Raw genomic sequence first — 18,399 nt, forward strand, 5'->3', positions numbered from 1 at the left:
TTTGAAAAGGTCTCAAACAACTCATAGATAAAAAGAAAATAAGCAAATATTTAAAGAATCAAAATGAAAACACTATAATGTATTTATTTAACTTCAGGAGATGTTATTTAACAAATTTGGGTATTTTGTGGTTTATAATTAGAAAATAGAAGTGGCTGATTTGTATGAAATCTTGTACAACTGCATTTCTAAGTGGATAAATGGAACTCTACTTGATTCACTTGCTGAAGTATGAAGTTAGTCTAACAAATGTATGAAATACCATAATCAACCAAATGTAAATTTTCAAGGAAGTAATATTTAAAGTAGATGTTTGTATAATAGTTACATCCTAGGACATTGAATAAGTACAACTTTTTCTGTATGCTTGGTGTAATTTCTAGAATATTAGATATGTCCCTTTCCATATTCTTTCACCTGTTGATACCACTGTTTAGAGGTTTGTTCCTTTGACTTCAGACTTTATTCCCTGTTCAGATAAAAATACCTCTGAGAAAGCTAGTATGTTAGAGTTTACTGGCCATTTCCCTGAAAACTGTATTTTACAGAAAGTAGCAACATCAAGAAAACGCAGGGAGGATAGTCTCACGCTATTTACCAAAATTTAAAATGCATTTATTTTTTCACCCAGCATTCCCCCTTTTGGGAATGTGCTCTACCCCACCCCATTTTTGCATATGTACAAAATGATACATATGCAAGGTTTATTGAAGCTTTATATGATTAAAAAATTAGGAACATCTCAAGTATCAATAGGAAACTTGTTAAATGAGCTATAGTACTTTTATATAATGGAATACTATGTAATTGCTTTTAAAAAAATAAAGAGACAACTCTTTATATACTGAGATAGAAAGATTTCCAACATATATTGTTAAGGAAAAAAATCAAGATGTATAACAATGTATATAGAATATTATCTTTTATGTGGGATGGGACAAAATAAAATTAAAAATGTAATTATTTTATTTGCATAGATAATCAGTGGCAGAATACAGGAGAAATTATTTAGAGTAGATATGAGGCTATGCAAAAGAGGTTGGGGGGTGTAGGTACCGGGGATTAGTTTATATATAATGATAGGGAGGAGCGAGACTTTTACCTTTAGATCTTTTTACATTGTTTTTATTTTATTTTATTTTATTTTTTTTTTAGACGGGGTCTCGCTCTGTCACCCATGCTGTAATGCAGTGACGTGATTTTGCTCACTGCAACCTCCACCTCCCAGGCTCAAGCGATCCTTCCACCTCATCCTCCCAAGTAGCTGGACTACACACTCATGTTGCCACACTCGGCTAATTTTTTTATTCTTTGTAGAGACAGGGTTTTGCCATGTTGGTCAGGCTGGTCTCGAACTCCTGGGCTTAAGTGATCTGGCTGCCTTGGCCTCCCAAAGTGTGCTTTGGTTTTTTAATCATGAGTGTATTGCCTGTTTTTAAAGGTAGCCTAATGAATGAATGACAACATGATTAAAATTAACAAAAGAAGATAATTCATCTCAAGTAAGGAGGTCATGTCACTCTGCCAAAGACTGGCTCTGAAGGACTTCATTTGCTCCAGGCCTTCAGCTACTTATGCAGAGGACTAATAACATGAAGGAACTTTTTTGACATTCTGGCAAAATGCCACTTATTTATATTGTATATGTATATATTTTTCTGTAGATGCCAGAGGAACAAGCATTCTGTGTTTTGGTGAAAATCATGTACGACTATGGTTTGAGAGACCTCTACAGAAACAACTTCGAAGATCTTCATTGCAAATTCTACCAGTTGGAGAGACTAATGCAGGTAAATAAAAATTAGGAACTTTTATCACTCAGGGATTTGTTGAGTCATAGAAAAAGCCTAATAGAGTTGGTAAGCAATAATGAATTATAGAAGTTTAATGGAATATTATAGAAAATGTACATGGATTTAGTTTCAGACCAATATCTACATTGGTCTATCATAATATGTTTATTTAGCCATTTTACTATTTTAAAAATATCTCACATTTTAAATGTTCAAGTTAAATATACTTTGAAGTGAGAATCTAATGAGTTTAATCATTAAGAGATTGCCAAGTATTGTTTGTAGAGGAATGGAGATATTTACAGAGTAAAAATTGAAATACCTAAGAGCTTTCTGCATACTAATTAGCACCACTTCCTTATTTGAGTCCACGTAGAACACTTGGAAAAGCCAGAAAGATATTCATAAGAGAATAAAACATACTAAAATACTGTAGGGATACATTTAAAAATTTTTAAATATAATTCCTAATCTCAATGTTGTTGTTGTGCTTTACAATGCGTATTTATAAATGTGTGTGAGAAACATGCATCCTTTTATATATACCAAATATTACACAGTAAAAAAGATTGTGACCACAGGCAAAGTGATTGACCAGAGCTGACAAAAGGAATTTTTAACTAGCTTTGGAGTTCTACCTGAAGTTGATAATCTTAAATTTATAATGGGTTTTTGTGGCATGTTTATGTGACTTTGTTTAAAAGGGGTTTTGGGAATCCAAGAGAAATGTGAAGGAGATACATGGATGGATTGATTCCATATTGGGGAAGGGTAAAATGGTTGAGGAAGGAGGTTCGTGGAATGTGAGAGCAGAAGATGCTAGTAGGAGCTCATTGATATGAACTGCCAGGGGATCCGTAGGTGTCTAAAGAGGGAAGTGAAGCCAGTAGGAGACTGAGAGATTAGAAGAACAGGGCAGTAGAGGATGAATTTGCAGTGAGGTTAAAGGAACAATTTATTGGGAGAAGGGAATGTAGGAGGGTAGAAGACTTTAAAATTGAAAAGAAATAAAAGGAGGCAGGGATGTAAAACGAGCCATAAGTACAATGACAAATGGGCATTAAGGAGGAAAAAGACTATGTAGAAGAATCTGGTAAATATGGATATTAACAGCAATAAGCTCCTTTTTAACGATTTAATTCTACCAAGTAAATATTTGGGATTACTCGCTTTTTGCCTTTTATTTACCAAAAAATTCATATATTTTCAAAGGTCAGTATTCCTAAGGGCTTTGAGAATCAAGTAAATATACCTAATAAATAACAGATGTGTGGTACTATGAAGAACCTCAACCACATTTTTCTGTTAGCAGTTTTTTTTCAGTTAACTGAATGAGCATTTGGACGTTCCATTTGAAGTACCTAATGGGCACATTTGGCTATTTTTCAAAGAGAGCATGTAGTTCAAGAAATGGCTTATTTTGTTTTTTATTCTTCTTTTTGTGGTCTATTTAGGAAAACAAAATGAAGGTGGCCTTTGTCTTTCAGTTATGGTAATAGCTATGCTAATACTTTGTACCTTGCTGTTCATGCTTTTGAAAACCATTTGCTTGTTTAAATTGGGAGAAAAAAATAAAGTTACCATAAAGGCATTTTTAGAAGATATCCAATTTTATATATTATACCTTTGCATAATTTCTTTGCTTTGCCATTTTTAATATGCTGAAGACAGATTTCTAAATAGTTTGTCGTGGCTTAGAATTTTCTAAGTGTTCAAAAAATATACTGAAACATCATAGACCCCAGATTAGATGATTTCCAAAGAGAAGATACATTTCTTTTCTAGCTAGTTAAGAATTGAACCCTGGGCTGGGTACAGTGGCTCACACCTGTAATCCCAGCACTTTGGGAGGCCAAGTCGGGCAGATCACTTGAGGTCAGGAGTTCGAGACCAGCCAGGCTAATATGGTGAAACACTGTCTCTAGTAAAAAATACAAAAAATAATCGGGCCTGGTGGAGGGTGCCTATAATCTCAGCTACTTGGAAGGCTGAGGCAGGAAAATGGCTTGAACCTGGGAGGCGGAGGTTGCAGTGAGCCAGGATCATGCCACTGTACTCCAGCCTGGATGACAGAGCAAGACTCTTATCTCAAAAAAAAAAAAAAAAAATTTAACCCTGAATGGGGATGCTATGACTTGACCCTGGAGTCAAGATACTCATTACACTACAGATGCTCTGGTAGAATGAGAATTTTGCAAGAATCAAGAACAGTCAAGTGAGCAAGAGATGGTCTTTCTTAGTTGTTTATAATAAGTCTGTTTTTATTTTCCTCAATTATCTGTCATATCCCTAATTCTCATCTGCTGTCATCACTTCTGTGCAGTTATACAAGACAACCAATACTAGAATAGAGTTACAGCGATCATAGAAAGCTGTTTGTAAGTTGCAGTTGTGGCAGGAACTTCATTGTTCTGCTGCAAGCTTCTCATTGCTCCTAAATTTTCCACTTTGACTTTTAGGAACAGCTACCGGACCTGCATAGCCATTTTTCTGATCTGAACCTGGAAGCTCATATGTATGCATCCCAGTGGTTTCTCACTCTTTTTACTGCCAAGTTCCCACTCTGCATGGTGTTCCACATCATTGACTTACTGCTTTGTGAGGTAGAGTGACTCCCATCTTTCACTAAGCCAAAATAGAAAGTAGTTTCTACTAAAAATGGTTACAGTTTTCTTCCTTTTGTTTTTGCCTGTGACATTAAGCCATAAATACTCACTGACCAAAAAGCTGTATTTGAATTTTCAGTAAAAACTATTTTAATTGTAATTTTATTATTTCTGAGGAATGAAAATGTTAAGGCATATATAATTCCTACAAAGTAAAATGGGTGATTAAATTTGCATAATTAAATTCATAATAAGCCTATATCTGTATAATAATGTTTTACCAGTATAAAATGCCTTTAAGGTTAAATAAATGAATTTAGAATTGGGTGTTTTTTAATATTAATGCAGTTATACTGCAAGAGTGAATATAAATGAGATTTTTATAATAACTAATTTCTCAGTTCATCAGATATCTTTCTGTTTATCATGTTTGGGACTGCTGCGAAATGATGAGACAAATGATAAACTAAAGCTATTATGTCATATAATTATATTTTTATATAGTAGAATATTTCAAAAATTAGTTTGTAAAATTTCTTAGGTGTTTATATTTGTGTATTTTATTGTTTTTAGTTCCTTAGATGGCTATATTTATTTACTCTTTTAAAGAAATAAACAGTATTATGCATATATATGGCTTATATTGGTCATCAAAATGTTTGACTATCTTAGCAGTAATAGGGAATTTGCTAGATAAGAAGTGTATATTTTCAATGGCAGTATAAATGTATATAAAATATAGCTATCTTAAAAAGCAGGACTAATCAAAAGTATAAGCTTATCTATGTGATTATAAGCTTAATATATAATCTAGACAGTTTTGTATTACTATGCTTCTTAAGGTAAACATCCTTTAAAAAAAATTTTTTTTGTATAAATTTAAGGGGTACAAGTGATGTTTTGCTACGTGGATATATTGTGTAGTGGTTAAGTCTGGGCTTTTAGTGTAACCATCACTTGAATAATGCACATTGTACCTGTTGAATAATTTCTTATCCCCTACCCCCCTCTCACTGTCCCATGTGAGTCTCCAATGTCTATTATTACAAATTCTGTGTCCATGTATACACATTATTTGGCAGTATTTGACTTTCTGAGTTGTTTTACTTAACATAATGGCCTCCAGTTCCATCCATGTTGCTGCTAATGACATGATTTTACTCTTTTTTTTGGCTGAATAATGCTACATTGTATGTACATACCACATTTTCTTTATCCAGTCATCCACTGATGGACACTTAACGCTGATTTTGCATCTTTGCTATTATAAATAGTGCTGCGATAAGCATATAAGTGCACGAATCTTTTTTTATACACTGATTTCTTTTCCTTTGGATAGGTACCCAATAGTGGGATTGCTGGATTGAATGGTAGTTCTATTTTTAATTCTTTGAGAAATTTCCATACTGTTTTCCATAGAGGTTATACTAATTTACATTCTCACCAGCAGTGTGGACTCTTTTCTCTACATCCTCACTAACATCTGTTATTTTTTGACTTTTTAATAATAGCCATTCTGACTGTCATAAGATAATATCATGTTATGATTTTAATTTGCATTTCTTTGATAATTAGTAATGTTGAACATTTTTTCATATGCTCATTGGCCATTTGTATATCTTCTTTTGAAAAATGTCTGTTTATGTCCTTTGCCCGCTTTTTAATGGGGCTAGTTGGTTTTTCTGTTGTCATTGAGTTGTTTAAAGATTTCTCTTTCTTTTCGTTTCCTTTTCTATTCTCTTTTCTTTCTCTTTTTGAGATGTAGTCTCACTCTGTCACCTAGGCTGGAGTGCAGTGGCATGATCTCAGCTCACTGCAACCTCCACCTGCCGGGTTCAAGCAATTCTCCTGCCTCGGCCTCCCAGGTAGCTGGAACTACAGACACACAACACCATGCCCAGCTAATTTTTTGTATTTTTAGTAGAGATGGGGTTTCACCATGCTGGCCAGGCTGGTCTCAAACTCGGTCTCCCAAAGTGCTGGGATTAGAGGCATGAGCCACTGCTTCCAGCCAGATTCCTCTTTCTTAAAAGGAAAGTCTAATGATTTTAATCACACTAGGAATTAGAAGTTTAAATGTAAAAATAAGATTTAAAAGATGCAATGTGTAAACTATATAAAGCATAAAAATGTTATTTCTCAGCCTACTAAAACAGTAACAATTATATATGCAGGCAAGGCTGGTCTTTTGCTCTTCAGTGGCTTTAGTTAGTACTTGCCTAATACCTGAAGGTCACAGGGCATTTGTAAGCATGTAAGAGTTTTAATCATTTGTACTGTACTTTGATAAAGAAGGGTTCAGTGACTTGCCAGGCTTGCAGAATAGGTTTCCAAATCCTGAATATAACAGCTAGAGAATCTGATTTATAATATGTTAATTCTCCGACTTGTTTTACTTACAAATTAGTTTGTAAAATGCCTTTCTAAATGTATCTTAAAGGAAGAATTCAGAATTAGGAGCTAAAACTTTATTCAAAGTCACCATGTTGTAATCACAATATTCACAAAGCATATGTGGTTATTTGTACCAAAAACTCTACCTGATTATCCAAATTGGTGTAGTGAACAGTTCCAACTCCGCTATTTTATAGGGCAATACTCTTTGAAAGTATAAACCAAATTCACATCTTCAAGTTCTAGAATATTAAAATAAGTGAATGCTAAAAGTTTTGATAAATATTCATAGACTTTTATATACTGAGCTGAGTTTAGTATTTCATGGTATTTCATAAAAATAGGAAAGTGGGGGTATGACATTTTAACAGTTTTTGAGTTATATATAGTATGAGCTTGCAAATATTTGTTATTGCTTCACAATTTTTGCAGAAAGAGATTAATTTCATACTAGATTGGTTCTATAGTGTTCATTGTAGAAAAGGGAATAAAATTAATGTGCTTAATCATAACCAACTAAATGTGATTTCTCAATCACTTTTCCTAGAGTGGTATCTCTGCCCTTCAGTTCACTGGGATGGTGACTTTCTAAAGTGTCTGCCCGAATGTTGGCACCCGTGGCATCGGAACATTGTCCATGGGTTTTCTGGAACCTAGATTCAAATTTTATCTTGAAGATACATGAATTTCTAATGTCAGTTAAGAAAACTAGCAACATTTGTGCTACAGAAAAGATAAATAAATTTATTAGCCTTCCCGTCACTTGTCAACTGTGACTTACAATCAGTGTTTGAAAGGTCATAATGTTCATTAATATTAATAAGAACATCATAGATATTACCTTTCCTCCCCTTAAACCTGTACTCTATAGCTGTTTAAGGAAGTTGGAAAACTTTTCAAAACATAGATTGTAATCATAGCATCATGATGTTCGGGGAAGTAAATGGTAACATCCTTTACCATTAAAATTGCTTTTCAGAATAATCTATTGGAAACAATATTGTAGTGTGCCTCAGGATATTTATTCTTTCCACTAACTCATCTTTGTCAAGAATTATTTTACAAAGGAAATTTTTGAATAAACTTTTACTTCCTGCATGTCTGTGTTTTCTTTTTGCCCCTTTCCTTCTTGTAGTTAATAAAATATTTATATCAAAAGCTATTATTTCATATGTGATGACATATTCTAAGAATTGGTAAACACAGTCTTAAATAGATTATCCATAGGTATTTGTTTTTGTCATATTCTCTGTTTTTAAGAAAACAATTTAAATTTTGAGGTTACGACTCAATGTTTACTTAAAAATGGAAGGATAGGAAGCTCTCAGGTAGAAAAGTATTGACTTTTCAAAGTTTTACATTCTGATTTTTAACATGTGCAACATGTTTACTCAAAGATCCCATTGCAAAGTGAAAAAGAAAGACACTGAGTTTGAAACTTTATGCTTAGAAGACGTATCATGACATGCTTTCCTAAGCTATATTATTTTAAAGATTTCTTCATTCATTCTGAGGTTAAGCCAATAAAGTTAATTTAGCAGAAAAGAGAAGAATTTTATAGACCTTGACAATGCAGCCTGACTGAACAACTGCTAATTATTAATAGTTTTATTTAAAGTATTTGCTTAAATCTGAATATATGATAACATGGGTTAGTTAATTCCAGAATGATGGATAGCAATGGGATTTGAAACTGGAGTTTAAAAATACATTTTCTTATGTTAAGATGAGTGAAAATCTGTTTTGATTGTCTTTTAGTCAGTAACTGAAATGAAAATCATTTTTAAAAAAACAAACCTATATCTTATTATCTGCCTTTATCTGTTTAGCAAGTCTAAATGTATTAACATTTATAGTGTAAATATTATGCTATTAACCTATCGATAATAAAACATTGCAGTCTTTAAAATAACTTTTTATTGAAGTATAATAACAGATAAAAGAAAATTTGCAAATATTAATGTAGAACTTAATGATTTTTCAAAAAATGGACATAACGAAGTAACCAGCACCCAGATTTAAAAAAGAACAAAAAGGAACATTATCTGCATTTCAGAAACCCTCTTCCCCTTCACTGCCCTTTTCCAGTAACTACACTCTGAAAAGTAATCACTTTCCTGACTTTTAATGCCATAGTTTAGCTTTGCTTGTTTTGGAACTTTATGTATGTGGAATCATACAATACGAACTCTTTTCTGTCTAACTTTTTTTAGTCATCATTATGTTTGTGAGATTCATCCGTATCATTGCATTTAGGCATAGTTTAGTTTTCCATTCTCCCATTCTATTGTTGACGGTTATTTGAGTTGTTTCTAGTTTCCAGAAGGCCATTATGAATAGTGCTCCGTGTGAATCTTTTGAACTTTCTTGAACTTGTCTTTTAGTTAACGTACCTATGCACTTCTGTGAGTACACATCAAGGAGTAGAATTGTTGTGTTAGGATGCACATACATTCAGCTTTAATGGATACTGCCAAACAGCCTTCCAAGGTAGCATGAGCATTAACTTTGAGTTGTTTTTATTCAATAAAGATCTTTCTTGTGATCAAGGGCAAGGTTTTGTTCTGTTTTGTTTTGTTTTGTTTTGTTTTGTTTTGTTTTTAGGTCGCAGATAATGGGTCAGATAAGAGTCCATGAATACGCAACAAAATGAAACTCATTTGGTGATTGGAATGATTGACCTGATCTCTGAAGTTGCATACAGGCAGATTGAAAGCTAAGAACTGGACCTAAAAGCAGAGTCCCTTTAGTGCTTTTATGAGAGAAGTTACTATGATGGGGAAAATCCAGCAAAGTATTTTCAGTCTTACAAAGAGCAATGTAGAGACGGTATGACATTTGAGTTAGGATATTGGACTTTTTAGTCAACCTTTCCTAGACAGCCTTGTTCAAGTTACTTGACCTATGTAAATCTCATTTTCTTTGTTTGTGTAATGAGACTAACAATACCTGTCTCTCAGGTTTAGTGTAAGAATTAGATGAGATTATGATATCAAGTACTTAAGTACTCTGCCTACTATACAGTATTCAATTAATAATAACATTGCCCTGCAGTCTGCTCCATCCATCTGTATAGCCCATTTAGTTGCTTCTTAATTTCTTCAATTATCTAGGTTTCTAATCACCTTCCCCTCCATCACCCAGTGGTTGAGATGCTTCTTTGGTAAAAGCAAAATTTTAAGTGAGTGACCTTAATGGAAGCTTAATTCTATTTCCTTTTTCAGTAGTGATTCAAATACTGCTCTAAAAGTGTTTTTTGCTTCTCCTCCACATTCTTTCAGAAGACATAAGGAAAATACTGGTATTTCTTTTAGTCTTCACAGAATAACTGACAGCCGGTGTTTGAAGTTGACTCTTCCCAGATAGTTCAATTTTTAGAGTACCAAATATGTTCAGCTTTATATAGTAACTTGGTATTTTCATGAAATTTAAGGAAATCGTTGACCCTTCAAATTAGAATGTATCTTCTGCTTCTCTTCTCTTCTCAGGATGTTGAAAAAATGACAGTACTACATTATTTGATTAAATATCACCAGGTATAATTCTCTCAAAGCAGTTTTCAGAAGTTGTTATCTGAAGAGTAGATTCATTATTTATTACACAATATTCTCCCTCCTTATCCCCATTCTCCCCCACAAAAAACTCATCAGAATGAGCTTAATACAAGCAAGATTAAGACTCTGACATAGGGGAGCTGGCAAGATGGCCAAATAGGAAGAGCTCTGGTCTGCAGCTCCCAATGAGACCAATGCAGAGGGTGGGTGATTTCTGCATTTTCAACTGAGGTACCCGGTTCATCTCACTGGGACTGGTTAGACAGTGGGTGCAGCCCATGAAGGATTAACAGAAGCAGGGTGGGGCATCACCTCACCTGGGAAGCACAAGGGGTCAAGGAACTCCCTCCCCTAGCTGAGGGAAGCTGTAAAGTACTCTGCCATGAGGGACAGTGCTATCCAGCCCAGATACTACACTTTTCCCATGGTCTTCGCAACCTACAGACCAGGAGATTCCCTCGGGTGCCTGCACCACCAGGGCCCTGAGTTTCAAGCATAAAACTGGGCAGTCGTTTGGGCAGACACCAAGCTAGCTGCAGGAGTTTTTGTTTGTTTGTTTTGTTTTGTTTTGTTTTGTTTTTACCCCAGTGGTGCCTGGAATGCCAGTGAGACAGAACTGTTCACTCCCCTGGAAAGGGGGCTGAAGCCAGGGAGTTGAGTGGTCTGTCTCAGCAGAACCTACCCCCATGGCATCCAACAAGCTAAGATTCACTGGCTTGAAATTCTCACTGCCAGCACAGCATTCTGAAGTCAAGCTGGGATGCTTGAGCTTGGTGTGGGGAGAGGTGCTGCCATTACTGAGGCTTGAGTACGCAGTTTTCCCCTCACAGTGTAAACAAAGCCTCCAGGAAATTCGAACTAGTTGTGGAACCCACCGCAGTGCAGCAAAGCTGCTGTAGCCATAGCACCTCTCTAGATTCATGCTCTCTGGGCAGGGCATCTCTGAAAGAAAGGCAGCAGCCCCAGTCAGAGGCTTATAGATAAAACTCCCATCTCCCTGGGACAGAGCACCTGGGGGAAGGGGTGGCTGTGGGCGCAGCTTCAGCAGACTTAAACATTCCAGCCTGCCAGCTCTGAAGAGAACAGTGGATCTCCCAGTACAGTGCTCGAGCTCTGCTAAGGGACAGACAGCCTCCTCAAGTGGATCCCTGATACCTATGCCACCTGACTGGGAGACACCTCTGAAGAGGGGTTGACAGATAACTCATACAGAAGAGCTCTGGCTGGCATCTGGCAGGTGCCCCTCTCTGATGAAGCTTCCAGAGGAAGGAACAGACAGCGATCTTTGCTGTTTTGAAGCCTCTGCTGGTGATATACCCAGGCAAACAGGTTCTGCAGTGGACCTCCAGCAAACTCCAGCAGACCTGCAAAAAGGGCCCTGACTATTAGAAGGAAAACTAGCAAACAGAAAGCAATAGTATCAACATCAACAAAAAGGACACCCATGCAAAAATCCCATCTGAAGGTCACCAACATCAAAGACCAAAGATAGATAAATCCATGAAGATGAGGAAAAGCCAGCGCAAAAAGGCTGAAAATTCCAAAAACCAGAATGCCTCTTCTCCAAAGGATCACAGCTCCTTGCCAGCAAGAGAATAGAACTGGATGGAGAATGAGTTTGTCGAATTGACATAAGTAGGCTTCAGAAGATTGGTAATAACAAACTCCTCTGAGCTAAAGACACAGTGCAAGGGAGCCAAAAACCTTGATAAAAGGTTACAGAAACTGCTAACTAGAATAACTAGTTTAGAGAAGAACATAAATGACCTGATGGAGCTGAAAAACACAGCACGAGAACTTCGTGAAGCATACACAAGTATCAATAGCCAAATTGATCAAGTGGAAGAAAGGATATCAGCGATTGAAGATCAACTTAATGAAATAAAACAGGAAGACAAGATTAGAGAACAAAGAATGAAAAGGAAGAAACAAAGCCTCCAAGAAATATGGGACTGGGAAAAGACCAAACCTACGTTTGACTGGTGTACCTGAAAGTGATGGGGAGAATGGAACCAAGTTGGAAAACACACTTCAGGATATTATCCAGGAGAACTTCTCCAACCTAGCAAGACAGGCCAATATTCAAATTCAGGAAATACAGAGAACACCACAGAGATACTATTCCTTTGTGGAACCCCACAAAGAACAACCACAAGACAGATAATCATCAGATTCACCAATGTTGAAATGAAGGAAAAAATGTTAAGGGAAGCCAGAGAGAAAGGTCGGGTTACTCACAAAGGGAAGCCCATCAGACTAACAGTGGATCTCTCTGCAGAAACCCTGCAAGCTAGAAGAGAGTGGGGGCCAATTTTTAACATTCTTAAAGAAAATAATTTTCAACCAGAATTTCATATCCAGCCAAACTAAGCTTCATAAGTGAAGGAGAAATAAAATCCTTTACAGACAAGCAAATGCTGAGGGATTTTGTCACCACCAGGCCTGCCTTACAAGAGCTCTTGAAGGAAGCACTAAATATGGAAAGACCAGTACCAGCCACTGCAAAAACAAAACAAATTGTAAAGACCATCAACACTATGAAGATACTGCATCAACTAATGGACAAAATAACCAGCTAGCATCATATGACAGTATCAAATTCACACATAACAAAATTAACCTTAAATGTAAATAGGCTAAATACCCCAATTAAAAGACAGACTGGCAAATTGGATAAAGAGTCAAGACCCATTGGTGTGCTGTGGAGCAGGGGGCGGTGCTCATCGGGGAGGCTCAGGCTGCGCAGGAGCCCACGGTGGCGGGGAGGCTCAGGCATGGCGGGCTGCAGGTCCCAAGCCCTGCCCCACAGGGAGGCAGCTAAAGCCCGGCGAGAAGTCGAGCACAGCAGCTGCTGGCCCAAACACAGCTTAGCAGTGCTAAGCCCCTCACTGTCTGGGGCCGGCAGGGCCAGCTGGCCGCTGTGAGTGCGGGGCCTGCCGAGCCCACGCCCACCCGGAACTCACGCTGGCCCGCAAGTGCCATGTACAGCCCCGGTTCCCACCTGCGCCTCTCCCTCCACACCTCCCTGCAAGCTGAGGGAGCCAGCTCCAGCCTTGGCCAGCCCAGGAAGGGGCTCCCACAGTGCAGCGGTGGGCTGAAGGGCTCCTCAAGTGCCGCCAAAGTGGGAGCCCAGGCAGAGGAGGCACTGAGAGTGAGTGAGGGCTGCCGGCACGCTGTCACCTCTCAGAGGGAGAGGCGTGGGTGGGAACCGAGGCTGCGCACAGTGCTTGCGGGCCAGAACGAGTTCCAGGTGGGCGCGGGCTTGGCGGACCCCGCACTCGGAGCGGCTGGCCTGCGCTGCTGGCCCTGGGCAGTGAGGTGCTTCGCACCCGGGCCAGCAGCTGTGGAGGGTGCACCAGTCCCCCAGCACTGCTGGCCCACCCGCACCACGCTCGAATTCTCGCCAGGCCTTAGCTGCCTCCCCATAGGGCAGGGTTCGGGACCTGCAGCCTGCCGTGCCCGAGTGCCCCCTGGCACTCCTGCCCTCCACGGGCTCCCGCACGCCCGAGCCTCCCTGACTGGCACTGCCCCCTACTCCGGGGGCCTGGTCACACCAACCGCCCAAGGGCTGAGGAGTGTGGGCACATGGCATGGGACTGGTGGGTACCTCCACCCATGGCCCTGGCACAGGATCCACTAGGCGAAGCCAGCTGAGCTTCTGAGTCGGGTGGGAACTTGGAGAACTTTTATGTTTAGCTAGAGGATTGTAAATGCACCAGTCAGCACTGTGTCTAGCTCAAGGTTTGTAAACACACCAATCAGTGCTCTGTGTCTAGATAATCTAGTGGGGACTTGGAGAACTTTTGTGTCTAGCTAAAGGATTGTATATGCACCAGTCAGCACTTTGTGTCTAGCTCAAGGTTTGTAAACACGCCAGTCAGCACCCTGTCAAAACGGACCAATCGGCTCTCTGTAAAATGGACCAATCAGCTGTCTGTAAAACGGACCAATCAGCTCTCTGTAAAACAGACCAATCAGCAGGATGTGGGTGGGGCCAGATAAGAGAATAAAAGCAGGCTGCCCGAGCAGTCACCTTCCGGACTGTGGAAGCTTTGTTCTTTTGCTCTTTGCAGTAAATTTTGTTGCTGCTCAGTCTTTGGGTCCGCACTGCCTTTATGAGCTGTAAGACTCACTGCGAAGGTCTGCAGCTTCACTCCTGAAGCTAGTGAGACCACGAACCCACTGGGAGGGACGAACAACTCCAGACGCGCCACCTTTAAGAACTGTAACACTCACCGCGAAGGTCTGCAGCTTCACTTCTGAAGCCAGCGAGACCACGAACCCACCATAAGGAAGAAACTCCAGACACATCTGAACATCTGAAGGAGCAAACTGTGGACACACCATCTTTAAGAACTGTAACACTCACTGTGAGAGTCTGCGGCTTCATTCTTGAAGTCAGCGAGACCAAGAACCCACCAATTCCGGACACAGTGGTTTTCCCCTGCAGTCAGGCTGCCCAGCAGTAGCTACTTTCTCTAAGAAGTTTTCCCTGATCACCCGTTCTTAAATGGATATATCCTTTTCCTTTCTCTCTTAGCACCCCGTGGTTGGTGTTTATTTATTGACTTACTTACTTACTCCTCCAACCTCCCCAGCCAAACTTTGCGTCATTCCATCAGTCAGTGGCCTGCTGGTGTCTGCCAGTGCTTGCTGGTGTGCTCTTCTGCTGGTGTGTGTTCCTCCCAACGTCCAGCCGCTTGTGTCTGTGCCCCCAGGGTCTTGGGGATTTTATAGACACAAGATGGGGGCATGGCGGACCAGGGTGGTCTTGGGAAATGCAATATTTGGGGACGAAAACAGAAATGCCTCTCCTGATTTAGGTCCAATGGCACAGGCCCAGAGGTGGAGCCCTCACCAGGAGCCCCACCCTTCTGCTCCCAGCACTTCCTTGCCCCCATACTATATCATTAAGACATACATTGAAGTGCTATGTATCTCACTTCTAGAAGTAAAACAATGTCAATGAGATTAGAAGCTTTATATATACCTCTTCCTGACTACATCTTCTTTGGTCTTCCTCAGGAGAACCATTATGAAGAATTTAGTGTTAATCATTCCCATGCATGTCTGTTTTTTTTACTACATATGTATGTATCTCTGGACAATTTATAATTGAGAATATTTGAAAAATATTATTGCAGTCTGATATGGTTTTGATATTTGTCCCTTCCAGATCTCATGTTGAAGTGTAATCTCCATTGCTGGAGGTGAGGCCTTGTGGGAGGTATTGGATGATGGGGGCAGATCTTTCATGAATGGTTTAGCACCATCCCCTTGGCAATGAGTGAGTTCTTATTCTGAGTTCATGGGAGATATGGTTGTTTAGAAGACTGTGGCACCTTTCCCTCAAACCCTGCTCTCGTTTACTCTCTCACTGTATGATGTGCTGGCTCGCCCTTGTCCTTCCACTGTGATAGTAAGCTTCCTGAGGCCCTCACCAGCAGCAGATGCTGGCACTATGCTTTGTGTACAGCCTGAAGAACTGTAAGCCAAAATAAAACCTCTTTTGTTTATAAATTACCCAGCTTCAGGTGTTCCTTTATAGCAAAGCATGAACCAGACTAACACACACTCACTAGTTTATCAAGTCTACCTCCAAAATAGGTCTTGAACCTTTATTCTTTCTCCAAGTCAGCATTATCTCCTATTCAGTAACTTCCTATCTGTTCTTCCCACTTGTCTTCCTGTCATTTTTTTCCCATTATTCTCCATAGCATCCAGAGAGGATTTTGTAAAACACATAACCGATTACACTCCTCTACTGAAAACCCTTCTGTGGTTTCCCACTAAATAAAACTCACATTGTTTCATTTGGCCTGCAGTTATTCCCTTCCTTCCTCCCCAGTGGTATCCAAAGGTCAGCCTTTTTCCTGCTCTTTGTAGTGGAACACTGGTCTTCTTTTAGTTTCTGGAACATTGAAAACATTTGTATATTTTTTAGGACAGCAGGGATGTTAATTTAAAAAAAAAAAGAAAAACATTTTTTCCTCTTTGTGCTTGGAATGAACTACTCACTCTACCTTGCTAGCTACTTCCTCTAAGAAATTTTCCCTGATCACCCATTCTTAAATGGATACATCCTTTTCCTTTCTCTCTTAGCACCCTGTGGTTGGTGTTTTATTTATTGACTTACTTTGTATTGCTTTTAAAATGCCTATTTCCCCCACCAGATTATAAATTTCTGAAAGGAAGAGCTATGTCTTTTTTGTGTGCAGCTGAATACCTAGTATCTAACTTTACATATGGTAGACATACTCAAAGTATCTGTTGAAGGAAAATAGGAATGAAGAAGTAACGGACATAATTATTTTTATCATCTTCATTTAAATTCTACAGGCTGAAAAATAACTTTGCTCTTGAGTTTTAAGAGGAAAAAATAAGTTGTTTTAGTTTAGATATTTTAAGAAACAGAAACCTAGACATAGTAGCTCCAGTACAGTGGGGGTTTATTGTAAAGATAGAGGAAATCCAGGAGAAGTTGAGCAAGTAGACTTCAGGAAGGACAGGCACCAAAGTTAACCTAGACACTCGTCTGTATTATTCTCTATCAATCTCTATGAATCAGATTTTCTCCCCTCTTTCCTGACCTACCTCTTTGTAGCTTTGTTTTTTTTACAGGGCCTAAAAGATCTCTAAGTATTTCTAGTGTGTGTGTAATTTAAGACTAAAATTCTTAATGTTGACTGCATTGAAAGTAGACATTTGATAAATGTAATATTAAGTAAAATTCTGATGCATCTCAAGACAAGCTATATATTAGCTTGGCATAGGAATTTAATTAGAGTGGAGCATAGCATAGTTTTAATATAGGGCGTAATCTTTAAAATTATAATTTGGTCCTCAGGGTTGAAGTGGTAGCTGGATCCAAATCATTTTCATAGTATACATTTGCAGGTGAGGTTATAAGTAAAAGCAGTGTGCAATTTTGACCCATATAAATAATTTTAATGATTATTGGCAAAAGTATATGAAATATTTGAATGCTTCCCATTGTCTAGAAACTGTATTGGGAAAGCATCTTCTAAGTAATAAGTGTTGAAAGACCTCCATTGTAATTATTAGTAACAACATTCTTTCAATTTATAAATTATCTATATTGTACAAAAGAGAAGGAACTCATGCAGTATCAGTGGAAGTGGATTAAAAATGAGACCTTTCATTGAAGAGTAGTTATTTCCCTTTACCACCTTGTTTCATAAATATCCAATTTTAGCTGATAAACTTTCAGACTTACTGTTTAAGTCTCAAATATTTGAGGACAGAATACTGGCAGGCTTTACTGGAGAGTATTTCTGGGCCACACACTGTACTAAAAGATTTACATACCTTGTCACACTATTCTTACCTTCTCCAAACAGACTGCAGCCCTTCACACCCCTCATACAGTTGCCCAATTTAGAAATAGGTTTTTCAACTTTTTTCAATTCACATGGGCAGACGCTGTGATTATCCTTGTCCTTCATGTCCCTTAGTAAATAACAGATGGTCTTTGTCTCTTTTAAGAAATCCTCATTACCTACTCTCATTTTAAGACAGAAATAGTAATCAATTCCCAATATCATTTTGGGTCTTTCAGTCCAAGACTTGACTCTGTTGATCTCATATCCCAGGTCCTCCTATGGTCTGGCAAGACTTCTCCATGTTAAATTCCTTCACCTGATGCTCCTGGTATTCTTTTCCAGCTGCACTTTTCAGGCACAGTTTTCCATTGGTATCCACAGGGTTTAAAGTTCCCCTCATCCCCCACAGATACCAAAATCTGAGGATGCTCAAGTTCCCTGTATAAAATGGCATAATATTTGCATATAACCTAACACATCCTTCCATATGCTTTACATCATCTCTAGATAACTTATAATACATAATACATTGTAAATGGTATGTGAATAGTTGTTATTTGTTTTTAAGTTTACGTTATTTTTATTGTTATTATTTTTATTTTAAAGATTTTTCCATCTGCAGTTTTCCATCTGTTGTTTGAATCCACATATGCAGAATCCACCGATAGGGAGGGCAACTGAACTTAATTATCTGCATCCATTGTTTGGC

At 38.5% G+C, this 18,399-nt stretch overlaps 1 protein-coding gene across 16 annotated transcripts in view, besides 1 other annotated feature; it reads left to right on the top strand.

Moving 5' to 3' along the window:
• The window catches only part of RABGAP1L (RAB GTPase activating protein 1 like), an 835,789-nt gene that overhangs the window by 538,341 nt on the left and 279,049 nt on the right, over positions 1-18,399 (top strand). For 10 of the 16 annotated variants that reach the window (NR_158982.1, XM_011510223.3, XM_047436028.1 and 7 more), the window contains 2 exons: positions 1,665-1,790; positions 4,253-4,396. Coding sequence is in view for 14 of the 16 variants with exons in the window: in XM_011510223.3 (XP_011508525.1) it covers positions 1,665-1,790; positions 4,253-4,396 (270 nt within the window). In the remaining 2 variants the exon portion in view is untranslated. Of the gene's footprint in view, positions 1-1,664; positions 1,791-2,678; positions 3,006-3,134; positions 3,286-4,252; positions 4,397-18,399 lie in introns of those variants that run through there. The other 6 variants (NM_001366451.1, NM_001366450.1, XM_047436056.1 and 3 more) reach the window with 4 other exon arrangements.
• Positions 14,536-14,645: an enhancer, noted in NCBI's record as "active region_2123". NCBI's record gives its function as "activates an Ori minimal core promoter by ATAC-STARR-seq in GM12878 lymphoblastoid cells {active_cell/tissue: GM12878}" and the evidence as "EXISTENCE:reporter gene assay evidence [ECO:0000049][PMID:35858748]".

The sequence above is a fragment of the Homo sapiens genome, chromosome 1 (genome assembly GCF_000001405.40).
Source record: "Homo sapiens chromosome 1, GRCh38.p14 Primary Assembly".
Taxonomy (NCBI): Eukaryota; Metazoa; Chordata; class Mammalia; order Primates; family Hominidae; genus Homo; species Homo sapiens.